Consider the following 15,379-nt stretch of genomic DNA (forward strand, 5'->3'; position numbering starts at 1 on the left):
GTATCAGTTGGTCCCTTGCTGCTTTGAGTTGGGCAACACTGAGGTTGGGACTACAGAGGTCATTGCCCCTTAAGAAGAACCTAGAGCAAGTTATCTCTGAGGCCCTCGGAAGCTTTGTTCAAGGGACATTAAGTCCCTTTGTTTGGGGCTGGGGAGTACTGAGACTACAGTTTGGGAAAATGTTGGTCTCTGAGATGTAGGCTGCCTGATGACTAGCTGTGCAAACAAAACCTCGGACTTCCCTCCGCATTTCTTTCCTTTGACCCTTCAGTGTCAGCAAGCTCAGGGTCAGAAACCCTGCACTCAACTCCTTTGCTAGGGATTTGTGGAGGCTGATAAAAGCCCGCAAGGTGGCCAGGGCTGCTGGGCAATGTTGGCATCCTGCTGATACAAAAACTCAGCTTGGATCTCCAGCACCTTCTCCTCAGATAAAGCTGGTAATTTCCTGGAGCAACCACACTTGGAGAGAACCAAGCTTGCAGGGAGCTCAGAGCAGCCTAGGCAGGTCACAGTGGACAGGAGGGATGTGGGACTGGCAGGAGGAAGTCAGGAAGGAGCCTTGATCACTGACTGCAAATAAAAGCTTCATGTGGTGCAATGAAATCACCCTATATGGCTTGAGAGGAAATTCTCTGCAAGGAGCTGCATGCAAATAGGTCATCAAGTAATGGCAAAAATATGCAGCCAAATGGAGGTGCCCCTGCAGTTTCCGTGTCTCCAAGGACTAGATAAACTCCAGGAAGGACTCAGGGCTTGATACCACAAAGGATGGGGAATAAGAGATGCTCCCTCTGCCCCCATGAGCCCCCTTAGCCAGCCTCCTGCCTCCTGCTTCCCATCTCTCCAAGGGGATCCACCCTGAGTCTGACCAGCATCCCCGTGTTCCCTGTGGCCGGGATCAGGCAGGGACACAGAGATTGCTTGAGACACTTTCTGGTGACTAATGCAGTATACTTGAACAGGAAACAGACTGGAAAGGACTTAGGGGGAGCTATAAATAGCCCATGTCCTAAAAAAATGAACTTGGGAAGAAATGGAATTAACAAACTGGGAGGAGAACAAGGAGATCACAGGCTCCAAACAAGACCAAGCTTTCTCTTGGGAAATGAGCTTTTCTCCCAGATGGAGCTCCATCTGCCCTTGCAGGATCAGCTCCCCCAAGTGTGCCCTGCTCCACCCTGGGGTTGACCAGCCAGCTCAGCCTGCCTGCCAATATGATGCCTGGAATTGTCTGTGGTTCTGGGGGCCAAGCCTTGTCAGGATCATCACGTAAGGGTGTGTATGTGCGGAAGGGTGGTGGCTGAGGCTCAGGATTCAAGGACTATGGACCATGGTGGGAAAGTAGAGAATTGGAGCAGTGACAGGTCAGGGACATCCCTTCTGATGTTCCTCAGTTCTCTTCTGTTCTCTGGGCTTCAGCAATCTGCTGTCTCTTGAACCCAGTGAGGGGAGGGGTGAGTCAGGCAGAAGAATGAGCTCAGGTAGGATGGCACGTCAGCAGCCTGGAGTCTGACACCGGCCAAGACACTCAGTGGCAGAGTAATGTAGAATAGAACACTCCATTTCACTAAGACTGGTTCCTTTTCTGTAAGATTGAGAGGTTAGACTAGTTCACTGGATTTGAAATATTTTTATTTTTTAAAGATGCATAACCTTTCTCCAAAGGAAATCACAAGGAAAGAAGAGTACTGCCCTGGTTAAGGTGGGGACTCAGGGTTTCTCACACTTACACTCAACCATTTCCCTTGTGGTAGCCCTGAGAAACTGCCACAGTGCACCAGGGCGTCGCCCAGCTCTGTTGAAAGCCACAGGACTGGAGCACTTGGCAAGTTTGGCTGGCCACCCAAACACAGCTCCTCACGGTTTCTTTCTGTCTTTCCTTTCTCCATAGAGGCTGGAAAGCTAAAACAGTGAAAGGTAATGCTGAGCAATGGAGGCCTAACTAATGATGTCAGTGAAAACAGAGGAGGAACTTGTAATTTACACTCCCCAGCTAACTTCTTCCTCCTCTTCTTCTTTTTTTTTTTTTTTAAAGACAGCATCCTCCTGTCACTTAGGCTGGAGTGCAGTGGCATGATCATGGCTCACTGCAGCCTCAAACTCCTAGGCTCAAGCAATCCTCCTGCCTCAGCCTCCCAAGTAGCTGGGATGACAGAGGCATGCCACTATACGCGGCTCCTAGCAAACTTCTTATATCCTTATTAGTTATTGTGATAGACTGATTGCAAAAACAGCCACAATCGTCTATCCCTTCCAGTCCACACCCTCTGCATCCTCAATCCACACCCTCTGCAATGTGACCGTGTAGCTCCTCCCATCAAGAGACAGAATCCATTTCCCCACCCTTTGAATATGGGCCGGCCTTGAAATTTGCTTTGAACAGTGTTTATTGAAAGTGACAATGTGCCAGCTCCACGCTTAGGTCTTAAGAAGCCTGTGTCTTCTACTGTCTCTCTCTTAAACCCCTGCTGCTGCCATGAGAACAAGCTGGGGCTAGCCTATGAGAAATGAAATATCACACAGAGCAGAGCCGAGTTGTCCCAGCAGAGGCCACCCCAGGCCAGCCATCCTCCAGCCAACCTGCCAGCGGACCCGAGATGCATGAGCAACTAGACTCATGAGAAATAATACATGTTGTTTTAAGGCATACGTTTTGGGGGTAGTCTATTTCTGTTCTAGTATTTATTGTCGAGTAACACACCACCCCAAAACTTAGTGATTTAAAACAATGTATTATATACTCATTTATTACAATCTCCCAAGGTTCTACGCATTGACTAGTCGCCGTGGGGCAATTCCCACCTGGGGGCTTTCAGATGATTAGTCAGATGTCGGCTAGGGCTGCAGGTATCCGAAAGGTTCAGCTTGAGTGGGTGCCTGGGATGGCTCACCCAGGTGGCTGGCACTGGATGCCAGCTCTCATGCTGGACTCAACTGGGCTGTTGACTGCACATGACCTCTGCATGGGCAAGGGCTTTTCACACCGGGGTGCTGGGTTCCACGAGGCAGGAAGAGGATGCTGCTAGGCCAGGTAAGAGTTGTGGCAGCACTGGCACGGCATCACTTTCTTTCTATTCTATTGGTCAAAACAATCACAGCATCGACCCTTGGAAACATAGATGTCACATCTTGATAGGGAAATGGCAAGGTCACATTTCAAAAGAGAAGATAGGATGGGAGATATTGTTGCGGCCATCTTTGGGAAATACAATCTGCCACAGTTGCATAGCATTATTGAAGCAATGAGTAACACAGACAGACATTTTTATTTTCCAGGTCTCCATCTTCCTTGCAGCACTGCTTTCTGTCCAGCCTCCCTGCATACCCACTTCATCACACAGGGAATGGCAAACACTGAGCTGCTGGGGGAAAGGCCTGCAGGGCCCTTCTGAGCTTTGTCGCCAGCTCTGGGGTCAGCAGGAAAGAATGCAGTGACTGACCAGTGATCACTGCCTCAAGGACCACGAGAAGAGGGGAAAGCCCTGGTATGAATGAGCTTGTACCCTTCACCTCGCTGCGTCTTGGTTTCCTCTTTTACATTTTTCTAAGGATTCTTCAGTATGGATATGAGGAAATATAATTGTCTAATTTCATTAGAGAGTGGATCCAGGCAATGCAAGCCGAGTGCTTTGCCAGTACTAGGTGCGGTGGAGGAAAAAATTAGATTATTCACAGGTTCAAATTGAGATTCTCACCTTATTACTCACACAGAGAGACTAAAGGTATCAATTTCTGCTCTCCCCAGCCAGGCCTACCCACAGGAGCTAGAGATATTCAACTGCCTTATTTAGCTTCACCCAGGCCCAGGAGCTGCTGAAATTAGACCTGGCCTGGTAGTGGGAACCCCATCTGGGCAGTGGGAGAGAAAGGGTTAAGATCTGTGATCATCGCATGTTCTTACTCATAAGTGGAAGCCAAACAATGGGAACACATGGACACAGGGAGGGGAACAACACACACTGGGGCCTGTGGCAGGGCAGGGGGAAGGAGAGCATCAGGTCAAATAGCTAATGCATGCTGGGCTTAATACCTAGGTGATGGGTTGATAGGTGTAGCAAACCACCACGGCACATGTTTACCTATGTAGCAAACCTGCACATTCTGCACATGTATCCTGGAACTTAAAGTAAAACTAAAAAATGTTTAAAATAATTAAAAAGAAAAAGATCTGCGTTTATGACCCAAGGTTCCTGAGAAGGCTCCCTGCCTTGGGCCTCCACCTCTGTTCTCAGCTCCAGCCTTTCCCCAGCCCAATCTGGGTAACTGAGCTTCTGCCCCAGGTTTTCCAGTGAGCAAGAAGTCCCCTTAACCCCATTCAGCTGGGATTCTATGGTCTTGCCAACTTCCCCTATCATTTTTCCTTTTAGACCACGCCCTATTCCTGAATCCAAAACCACTTCCTGCTTCAAAGAGGAAGTTCCTTCAGAAGCCAGATGCTGTTACCCACCTGAAAACAAGTATCTTTGGCAAAAGCCAGAGACTCCTCCTGTCAGAGCCCTGCCCACCTGCCTGAGAGCCCCTGCCAGGTCAGCAGCCAGTATGTTAACCCCCCTGAGGGCCCTAGGCCCCCGCTACTCCTGTCCCGGCAGGTCTCAGAGCTGAGCCCAGAGGGTCACGACAGGAAGAAGGCAGATGCCTTCCATACTGACTAGGTTTTTGGCTTGCTTTGCACCAACATCCTGTCTGCCCTGTTTCCTACTGAGGGCAAACTGGACTGGTTTTTAATTAAACCCATTCCCCCAGAGAGCTTGGGGGAGAGATAGCCTCATAGAATTCCTTCAGTAGTTATCAGAAGGAGACCCCGTGGAGGCAGAGGTTGCAGTGAGCAGAGATCGTGCCACTGCACTCCGGCCTAGGCAACAGAGTAAGACTCCGTCTAAAAAAAAAAAGAAAAAAGAAGGAGCCAGGGTGGGGGGTGGGAACAGGAGAGAGGGAGGGGGGAAAGTGAAGTCACAAGTCCAGAGTGGTTCCTTCCTGGCTGAGCTAATGCCCTAGCAATGCACCTTATGTAATGGGCAACTCACCTGAGCGTCTGAGCCCATAGGAGTGCCAGCCCCTCCCTGTGGTGCCTCCCCTGCAGGGCCCACAGCCACACCCTCAGTGCACACACTCTCCTTCCTATCCATCCACTGATACCTGGGGATGACCTTTGAACGATGTCCAGCAAATCAAGCAAATTAAAGGCAATCACATCCACTGTAATACATCTGCTTGGTAGAACATTTGAACAGAGAAAACATTCCCCAGAGCTCCACCCCTAGAGATAGTTTTTCTTTTATTTTTTTCACCCAGGTTGGAGTGCAGTGGTGCAATCTTGGCTCACTACAACCTCTGCCTCCCAGGCTCAAGCAGTTCTCCCACTTCAGCCTCTCGAGTAGCTGTGACAACAGGTGCATACCACCACACCCGGCTAATTTTTTGTATTTTTGGCAGAGACGAAGTTTTGCCATATTGCCCAGGCTGGTCTCAAATTCCTGAGCTCAGGTCATCCACCTGCCTTAGCCTCCCAAAATGCTGGGATTACAGGTGTGAGCCACAACACCCGGACTTCTAGAGATAGTTTCTATATTCTAGAGATGTTTTTATTTTTATTTATGTTTAACCAAATTAAACTCTTCAGTTCTTCTTTCTGGTGCTTCCTTTGGTCTTTAGCTGAGTCCCTCTCCAAAACTAGAGGCCATAGGGTTGCTGTGGCTTTTCCATCCCCATCATAAAGGGTAGTGCTCCCTCAGTGATTGGTTTCAGGATTCTCCCCAATACAAATCAGGCCTCCAAGAACCATGTCCCCTTCAGAGAGGATTCCTAAGCTTCCTCCTCTTCCTCCTCTTCTTACTGCAAGGGAAATACAAGATCAGTCTGGAATGGGCTTCCAGATTCATACAACCTCCCCCAGGACACAGATTCCGGGAGAGAGAAGAGGAAGGCAGGTTTGGAGCCTCCACCACCACCAGTTTCCCTCACGCCCTCCTCTCTCCCTTCCCCTCTTTCTCAACTTCCTCCTTTCCCTCTCTTCCTTCTATGATCTGTCCCTGCCCCTCTGTCTCCTCTTCCTTTCCTTCCTTCCTCCCTTTTCTCCTCCCTTCCTTAGCAGGCAGCAATGAGCAGGTGGCACTGAACTTAGATTCCACCATCACAGGTGGGTAGATCTTGGCTCACAAGCCTGTCATTGACTAGCTAAGTAGCCCTGATTGGAGGAGTCATTTTATTTCCCTGAGCCTTTGTTTCTCATCTGCAACATGGAGATTTTACTCACCACCGTGGTGCAGACAAAGTAGGACAAAGTATCCTTTAACCCAGGGCTTGACACGTGACACTCATCAAACATTGCTGAGCTCTAATCTGCATCAGGATATGGTAAGTGTCTACTGGGTGCTGGGACAAAAGGTACAGATGGGAGCAAGGCAGAGATCCCTAAACAGACCTCTGTTGTGATCTTTGTTGTAATACATGGTAATTATTTGTTTCCAAAAAGAGGTGGAAGGAGACATAGATAGCTTCTACCGCCAGGCATTCAGGCACCAGCTGTGAAGGCCTTCTGCACATTGAAAAACTCAGAGTAGCCTGGTGGCTGGAATGAAAAGTCAACACCAGTTCCCCCAGCAAAATATTTCTCCATTCAGCCTTTTCGGCTCATTGGTTTGCCTGAAATCAGTTGTTTCTCCCTGGGGAAGCAATCTTTAAAATGGTGAGGAGAGTGTGCATCTGATGTGCCTGCACTTGTGCCTGTGAAACAGGGTAGGCTCAGAGCTCCGTGCAGGCCCATGAAGTCCCCTCAGAGACACCAGTGTTGGGTTGTCATAGGGTCCCAGAAAATGCCTGTCTGCTTCGTGAGATTTAGGCTGGGTGCACAGAGGTTTCACTTGGTGTGCCTGACTTATTTAGGGGCTGCCTGAAGTGCCATGTGAGAAAGGAGGCTGAGGGCGTTGGGTTTGGAGGAAGAGAGCACTAGGGTGGATTAGCAGTATCTGCTGCAAGTGGAATTTGGAGGGGATAGAAATCGTGCGTTCAGCTTATTTGGCATCTCTGGGTTGGCCTCACTTTGGCAGTTGGTTCCTGCTGGCTGGGCTCTGCTCACACGCAGTGAGAGGTCTCTCAGAGGCTCTTTGTTCTGCTGCTGGGGATGCCTTGGGAATGATGCCCTGGGGTGCACTGCCACATCCCACACAAAAGGTCTCCTTAGCTGGAGAGCCTTACCAGGTGCATGGAGGGGAAGACGCGGTACCATAAAGATGAGGATTCCTCTCAAAGTAATATATGCATTGAATGAAATGCCTACTTCAGTAAGGAATTTCCCAAAGCTTTACAAGCTAATTCTAAAATTCACATGGAAGAGAGGCCAGAGAATAGCTTAAATTACTTTGAACAAGGAGGGGAGACTTAGCTGCCAGCTATTAAAATCCATTATTAAGGCACTGATGTTAAAGAATCACCACACAAATAGACAAACAGACATTGGAGCAGAAGACAGGGAACAGAAAGACGCTCATATGTATCTGGATAACATTGACAGGAAAATCAAATTGTAATGTCACATACAGGAGTCTTCATGAAGGTAAGATGTTTAAAAACATTTTTAAAAGTATAAAACATTGTTTAGAAATATACGCCTTTGTAGTAAATGTGTAAAAACACGCATTAGAATGATGAACACCAAATTCCAGAGAAAGGGAATGGATCCCTGTGGGGCACAGAGTGTGCATTAACTATGTTTATGTCTTTAAAGGAAGAAAATATTTGAAGCAGATATGGCAAACGGAGAAGATTCATGAAAGCTGGATGGCCGGCGCATGAGCGTTTGCGGTGTCATACTTTGTTTCCTTATGTTTGAAATATTAGCATGGCTGGGCATGGTGGCTCACGCCTGTGATCCTAGCATTTTGGGAGGCTGAAGCTGGGGGAACACTTGAGGTCAGGAGTTCAAGACTAGCCTGGGCAACATAGTGAGACCTCATCTCCAAAAAAAAAAAAAAAAAAAGAAAGAAAGAAAATGAAACATTAGGGAAAAAAAATCCCCCATGTGCCTGGTCTGCCGGATTCCCCCAGTAGCCTGGTTATGGCTTGGGAGGGGAAAAGGAGGGGTGTTTTTGTCTATTTCTCACATATGACACTCAATGACTTCACAATCATTAATTCATCACCCACTAAGGGTCATGCACTGAGGTACCAAGACTAATGAAGGTCCGGCCCTCCCCAGTGTAGGAGGCAGGTAAATGATCACACTGTGACAAATGCTCAAACGGGGATGTGCTTGCAAAGGCTAGAGACAGCACGGGAGGAAGGAGCAGTCCATTCTGCTGAGAGTGTGAGTACCGAGAAAGCATGGCACTGGGCTTGAAGGATGAGGAGTTCGCCAGACACAGAGGATGAGGAGAGCAGCACGTGAGTAAAGAAAACAGAGAAAGGAACTCTCTGTCATGTTGTGGGCTGGAGGGCAGCATTCACACTGGACAAGTGCTTCAGAAAGATCCTTCTGGCAGGTAGTGGGCAGAAAAATGAGTGAAGTCAGAGCGATCGACTAGGAATCCACTGAAAGTGGATTTAAATGAGAGGTGATGAAAAACTCAGCTACAGCTGGGCGAGGTGGCTCACACCTGTGATCCCAGCATTTTGGGAGGCCGAGGTGGGCGGATCACAAGGTCAGGAGTTTAGGACCAGCCTGGCCAACATGGTGAAACCCTGTCTCTACTAAAACAAACAAACAAACAAAACTCTCTCTATATATATGTATAATATATTAATATATTATAGATCTATAATATATTAATAGAATGTATTATAGATATATATTAATATAATGTATTATATATATAAATATAATATATTATATATAATATTATTTTATATATATATATACACACACAAAAATTAGCCAGGTGTGATGGCAGGCACCTGCAGTCCCAGCTACTCGGGAGGGTGAGGCAGGAGAATCGCTTAAACTCAGGAGACAGAGGTTGCAGTGAGCTGAGGTCACACCACTGCACTCCAGCCTGGGCGAAAGAGCAAAACTCTGTCTCAAAAAAATAAATGAATAAGAAAAAAAGAAAAGAAAAAGAAAAACTCAGCTACAACAGAGTGACTGGTTATAATTTCCCTGCAAAACTGCTAATTCTCTGATGGAGGGACAAGCGCTGAATCAGGTTTTGTTTATCTCTGCAGAGTACCTACATTGTTCCCTCTTATGATAGGAGCTCAAACACATGTTGATGAAAGGGAGGGAGGAAGGAAGCAGGCAGGCCCGCAGGCCCATGCCCTTCTTTTACAGATAAGGAGACAGAGCTGGGACGGGTGGAGGAGTGTTCAAGGACATTCTTGGCTAGAAACTTACTATCTAAAATAGTAAAGAGACCTCTAACCATTCTGCTGACAAACTTATAAGCACAATAAGCTTTGAATAACAAACACTCCGCAGGTAAAGTTCCATGACAACGATTCTTGTTATAAAGTTGTGGTCTTCATAGAGAAGTGCTTTCCTCTCTCAGGCAGGAAAAGAGTTCCTTTAAAATAGATCGAAATGCTCTGTGATGAATAATACGAAGCAGTAAGGCCTTCACCTGGCCTGGGTCCAAATAACAGGTTCTATTCAGGTGGCTCTGAAAGCACCTGATTGTGTGCTGTCGCCACTGTGGGCAGGGCAAGTCCAGCAGAACTTTACAAGTCTTTTGTTCTGCCAGCAAGCAGTAATTGGTTCTCCACCCCAGTGTAGTAAACTTCCAGCCACCTGAATGAAATTCACCTAATTTAACAAACTGCACGAGAAGCAAAGCAACTCCCGGAGCATACACAGGTGTGAATATTGTGCATCTGTCTTCTCTGTGATTCCTCTTGTCTTGAGGCTTCCACACCCCTCTGGTCCTTGGTTCGTCCTGTCCCCTCTTCTCCAGACCCATCTTCCCATCTACTGCAGACCTGGCTCTATTGGGTATTGAATCTGCTTCTCTCCACACCTCAGTTTCCCCCTTTCACCTAGCTCTTCCTTTTAGCTTCTAAACATGCTCAAGGCTTGCAGCCTAAAAATGAAAATACTACAAACTACTCTTTATTCTGCTTCTTCCCCCACTGTGTGCCCCTTCCAGTCATAAGCGATTCTGCAAGGAACCATCTATACTCAGTCTCTACCATCTCATTTCTTGCTACATAGCAAACAACGTTCTAAGAATTTTACATATATTGACTTATGGAAGCCTGACAACATCACTGTGATGTAAGTGCTATTGTTATTTACATTTTATGGATGAGGACAAGGAGGCACTGAACAGCAAAGTATTTGCCCTGGATCACCAGGATTTGGGCAAAGGTATGCTCTGAGACCTTTTTCCCCGCCTTATGCCCATTACAAGGTACCTTGAATGAAAAAATACACAAGAACATTGCATGGACCTGTCTCATTTATTGATTCATTCATTTCTTCATTATTTAACACTTACTGGAGGCCTACCATGTGCAAGACAAGAGAAAGACATGAGTCTGCTGTTGACATGGTCAGAGTCCAAAATGGGAGGCAGGCCTGCAATATAGCATAAGAAGAGCTCTGGTAAATAGGTGACAGGGGGCTAGGGAAGCCCAAAGGAAGCAGCTCACTTTGCTCATAGCGGTGGTTCCCGAATTTCACCATGCATTGGAATCACCTGAGATCTTTCAAAACTACCAATTCCTGCCTCCCACCCCAAGATATTATGACTTAATTGACATGGCGGTTGGATTTAAAAGCTCTCCAGGTGATTCTAATGTTCAGCAACATTTGGGAAACACTGGCTTCAAGGGTAATGAGTAGGGAGTTTGGTTTGTAACAACACAAAGCCTAGCTTAAACTATCTTAAGAATAGAAAATGAAGTGGGTAAGGTGTTGTGCCAAACCCCTATCAACTCCCAGAGAGATGGCACCAGCCTCAAGGGGCTGAAGAAGAGACCCAGAGCCAGCAAACGAGACATAGGGTTTTACTGGGGCTCACAAACAGGGGAGAGAGTCCAGTGGTGGCGGACTGGGCAGAAGAACCACACTGCTGCGAAACCATGCAGTTTACATAGCATTTTCACTTAACACCCTCCCCCTAACAACCTCCACTTGACAAACTGCATTTAACCCCTCAAAAGGGCCTGGATCCCATGTATGGAATTGTGGCTGGGCTGGGGGCACTCAGATGTTCCTCATAGATAAGGAATGAGTCTCCGGGTTGGCCACTCTGGGATTCCTTAGCTCAGAACTCTAAACACACATTCAGGTGCGTCTGTTACACAGGGTCATTCTCAGGGTATGCTTAAGTTATCACTGCCAGTTGCGTCTACCATGCACCGATGCATCTACCATAAAGGAGGGGAGTTGTGTATTGGCTTACATTAGATTTTTAAAAGATGGTCAAAGGCTATATGGTTCCTGAAAGGGTTTGATCCAGGTCTCAAAAGATGTCATCAGGATAGTGTTTTCCTTTTTTCCCAGTGATGGTTGCATTCTAAGTCTCCCATTGGTTGCAAGATGCAGCAGTTCCAATCTCTGTTCCTGCTTCCCTCACATCCAGTGCAAAGAAGAGGTCTGAGGTTCTTATATCTCAAAAACCTAGCATTGCATTTCATTGGCTCTGGTTTGGGCCTGAGCCAATGACTGGGGCCACAGAGGTGGAGACTGCTGATGGCTTAATCTAGTCATGTGTCCCACCTCTGGGGCCAGAAATTGGAGGCAGTCTCATCTAGAAGGCCGTGGTAGAGAATGGAGGATTTGTAACAGATCCTGCAGGGAGATGAGGGTGAGGAGGTAGTCAGGGCTAGACAGAGGAGAGTTGCTGTATTTTGTAGGAGGTAGAGGTATTTAAGTAGGAGAATGATAACATGACTTTTGTATTTTAAGATGCCACTCTGCCAGTTATGGAGAAAACATGTAACTTTTTTTTATTTCTTTTTTTTTTAAGACACAGTCTCGTTCTGTCACCCAGGCTGGAGTGCAGTGGCGAGATCTCAGCTCACTGTTACCTCTGCCTTGCAGGTTGAAGCGATTCTCATGCCTCAGCCTGCAGAGTAGCTGGGACTACAGGCGTGCACTACCACGCCCATCTAATTTTTTTGTATTTTTAATAGAGATGGCATTTTGCTATGTTGGCCAGGCTGATCTTGAACTCCTGGGCTGAAGCCATCCTCCTGCCTCGGCCCCAAAGTGCTGGGGTTACAGGCATGAGCCTGGTCATGAATTTTTAAAAAAGGTGTATAGGCTGCGTACAGTGGCTCACACCTGTAATCCCAGTGCTTTGCATGCCAAGGCAAGAGGATAGGAGACAGGTAAATGACCATACTGTGACAAATGCTAAAATGGAGGTTTGCTTGAAAAGGCTAGGGAGAGCAAAGTAGGAAGGAGCAATCTGAGTGTGACTTGAGCCCAGGAGTTCGAGACCCTATGTATTAAAAAAAAAAAAAAAGAGAGAGAGAGAGAAATTAGCTGGATGTGGTGGTTCATGCCTGTAGTCCTAGCTACTCAGGAGGCTAAGGTGGGACGATCACTTGAGCCCCAGGAGTTTGAAGCTGCATTGAGCTATGATTGCACCACGCACTCCAGCCTGGGTGACAGAATGCGACTCAGTCTCTTTTAAAAAGGTAATTGTAGTTGTTCAGAGGAGAGATATTGGGAACCTAAACTAAGACAGCAACAATAGGGATGAATAGTGGGGAGGGGATTCAAGAGATGTGTCTGAACTATAATTTAAAGGATTTGTTAACCAACTGGAAAAGAAGATTTAGACAAAGAGAGAAACCACAGAACCACAGAAGAACCACTAAGAATTCCAGTTCGGGAAATGGGGTGGATGGTGATACCATCAGTGAGATTTGGAATATAGATCATTAAGAGGGTTTTGGACAATGCACTTTGGACATGCTGACTTTGAGATGTGTTGAAGGCATCCAGGGAGCAACATCCAAGGGCAGATGAACATGAATTTGGAATTTGGGAGACAGCTGGAATTCCAGTGCCCATATGATAGCTGAGACAGGGGTGAGGAATGTGGTCACTCAAGGAGAGACATCGAGGGAGAAGAGCAGGAAGAGAAGCTCTTATGGCATGGAAAATTGAGGTGGAGCAGTGGTGTTTGGGAAACAAAGGAAGATGGCTGGGCGCAGTGGCTCACACCTGTAATCCCAATACTTGGGAATGAAAAGGCAGGAGGATCACTTGAGCTCTGGAGTTCAAGACCAGCCTGGGCAACATGGCAAAACCACATCTCTACAAATCAAGAAAAAAATAGGTGTGGTGGTGCATGCCTGTAGCCCCAGCTACCTGGGAGGCTGAGGTAGGAGCATCTCCTGAGTTGGGGAGGCAGAGGTTGCCTCAGTGAGCTGAGATTGTGCCACTCCAGCCTGGGTGACAGAGTGAGACCTTGTCTCAAAAAAAAAAAAAAAAAGAAAAAGAAAAAGGAAGAGAGAGTTTCAAAGAGGGGTGGTCAACTGTGTCCTGTGATGCAAAGAAATTAAGGAAGTTAAAAGCCAAAAGTATTTTTGGCTCTATAACAGGGATTTGACCACTAGGAGGGCTCTGGCATCCTAACAAGAGCCAGCTTATAGGGTTTAGGGTGAGTGAAACTGGAGGATGCAGAGAGAAAAAGCATGGATGGATCACTCTTAAAGAAGTTTGATGGTAAGAGACAGGGCCAGTGGCTCAAGTAGATATGCCACATCTTTTTTCATTCTTTTTGTGATTTGTTTCCTTTTTAAAGTTCAGTTTGATGAGAGAAGTTTGACTACAATTAATGCTGCAGGAAAAACTAAAGGAGAGAGAAAGTCTGAAGATAAAAGATAGTGATTTTTCCATAGAGACAGAAAGCAGATTAGCAGTTGCTGGGGACTATGAGGAAGGGGGAGTGGAGTGACTGTTTAATGGGTGTGGGTTTCCTTTTGGGGTGATAAAAATGTTCTGAAACTATGTGTGAAGCAGCTCCCATATAAGAAAGAAAAATGTTCTGGAACCAGATAGTGGTGGTTGTACAACACTGTGAATTTACTTTGAATTTTATTTTATTTTATTTTGAGACAGGGTCTTGCTCTGTTACCCAGGCTGGAGTTCAGTGGCATCATCTCAGCTCACTGCAACCTCTGCCTCCCAGGTTCTCATGCCTCAGCCTCCCGAGAAGCTGGAATTATAGGTGTGTGCCACCACACCTGGCTAATTTTTGTGTTTTTAGTAGAGATGATTTCACCATGTTGGCCAGGCTGGTCTTGAACTCCTGGCCTCAAATAATCTGCCCACCTTGGCCTCCCAAAGTGCTGGGATTCCAGATGTGGGCCACTGCACCTGGCCAACTTTATGACAACTTTATAACAACTTCACTACCCCTATTTGATGAAAGAGGAAGCTGAGAATCAGAGAGACTCACTTATCCAAGGTCATACAGCTAGATTTGAGATTCCACCCCAAGCTGGTTTAACTACAACGCCCAAACCCTTAACCCTCTCATCTGGCCTCTATAGCTGCAAGATTTCATAAGTACATATGTTGATAATGTGAATTGATCCATATTCTCCAAGGTGTAATGGCCCCAATCCCTGGATAATGAGAATGTCTTTTTTTATTTTTACATTATTCCTTTTGATTGACCTTTTTGATTGGGCACAGCTTTGATTATACAAAAGATAAAGCCTATTTTTAATACAAGGAGGAAAAGATGTTAGAGGTAGGGCGCTTCTCTGAAGGAGATGTCATAGGCATGTAAGCAACCACTAGCGAGGACGCGAAACTTCACGGGGACGTGGGTGAGTCTGTTTGCAGAATGTGAAAGGAGCATGAACTGGGGCAATAAGGAAGACTTCCCAAGGTGGTGACCTGTAGTACAGTCTTCTCACTGGGTGGAAAGGAACAGGGAGAGCCTTTTACAAGGGTAGCACTAAGCCTGAAGCCGAGATCAGGAGGGATGGGGGAGGAACGGACAGACAGGCTGGATCCATAGGGTGATGTTTCATGCCATCTCTTTCCTGGTCCTCCCTCTGCCCCTCTTCCAGTTCCCATTCCCCCTCCTCTGCGCACAGTGAGCCATGCAACATAAATATGCTTTGCTCTCTGCTGTCAACAGAGCAGCTATATAGCCTTGTTCTAAGATGCTTCCCTTGGTCCTTAGGGAAATAGAAAACCTCGAGGGCTGGCCGCTCAGGCATTCTTAGAAGGCGGCTGTGGCTCGTGCCTTCCCACTTTGTTCTGGGATCCTGTGACTCTTGGGCACAGACCCAGCACAGCCTTCACTCAATGGCTTCTTTGATTTTCTCCCAGTTGGACTGTCAGAGATTGTTGGCCAGCGGGAAGAATGCTGAGTGGTAAACTGTGCAGAGAAACAACTATTGCATTTCTGCCAGAAGTCAAATTTCTTTTCAGCCTTGCCCTTATACAGAAGGACCAGAACCCTGCACTTGAGAT

At 46.8% G+C, this 15,379-nt stretch overlaps 1 long non-coding RNA gene across 1 annotated transcript, besides 4 other annotated features; it reads left to right on the forward strand.

Moving 5' to 3' along the window:
* The first annotated feature begins 1,025 nt into the window (after nucleotides 1-1,025).
* On the forward strand, nucleotides 1,026-3,596 carry LINC02989 (long intergenic non-protein coding RNA 2989). Its single transcript, NR_186297.1, has 2 exons — nucleotides 1,026-1,275; nucleotides 3,277-3,596. It is a non-coding gene; the product is annotated as a long intergenic non-protein coding RNA 2989 (long non-coding RNA).
* Nucleotides 6,377-6,671: a silencer, noted in NCBI's record as "tiled region #886; HepG2 Repressive non-DNase unmatched - State 8:EnhW". NCBI's record gives its function as "represses a minimal TATA promoter and a strong SV40 promoter by Sharpr-MPRA in HepG2 cells {active_cell/tissue: HepG2}" and the evidence as "EXISTENCE:reporter gene assay evidence [ECO:0000049][PMID:27701403]".
* Nucleotides 6,377-7,064: a biological region, named in NCBI's record as "Sharpr-MPRA regulatory region 886".
* Nucleotides 6,564-7,064: an enhancer, noted in NCBI's record as "H3K4me1 hESC enhancer chr11:12113956-12114456 (GRCh37/hg19 assembly coordinates)". NCBI's record gives its function as "activates a minimal SCP1, AML or CMV promoter by ChIP-STARR-seq in naive H9 embryonic stem cells {active_cell/tissue: H9 hESC(naive)}" and the evidence as "EXISTENCE:reporter gene assay evidence [ECO:0000049][PMID:30033119]".
* Nucleotides 7,065-7,565: an enhancer, noted in NCBI's record as "H3K4me1 hESC enhancer chr11:12114457-12114957 (GRCh37/hg19 assembly coordinates)". NCBI's record gives its function as "activates a minimal SCP1, AML or CMV promoter by ChIP-STARR-seq in naive H9 embryonic stem cells {active_cell/tissue: H9 hESC(naive)}" and the evidence as "EXISTENCE:reporter gene assay evidence [ECO:0000049][PMID:30033119]".

Source organism: Homo sapiens, chromosome 11 (genome assembly GCF_000001405.40).
Source record: "Homo sapiens chromosome 11, GRCh38.p14 Primary Assembly".
Lineage (NCBI taxonomy): Eukaryota > Metazoa > Chordata > Mammalia > Primates > Hominidae > Homo > Homo sapiens.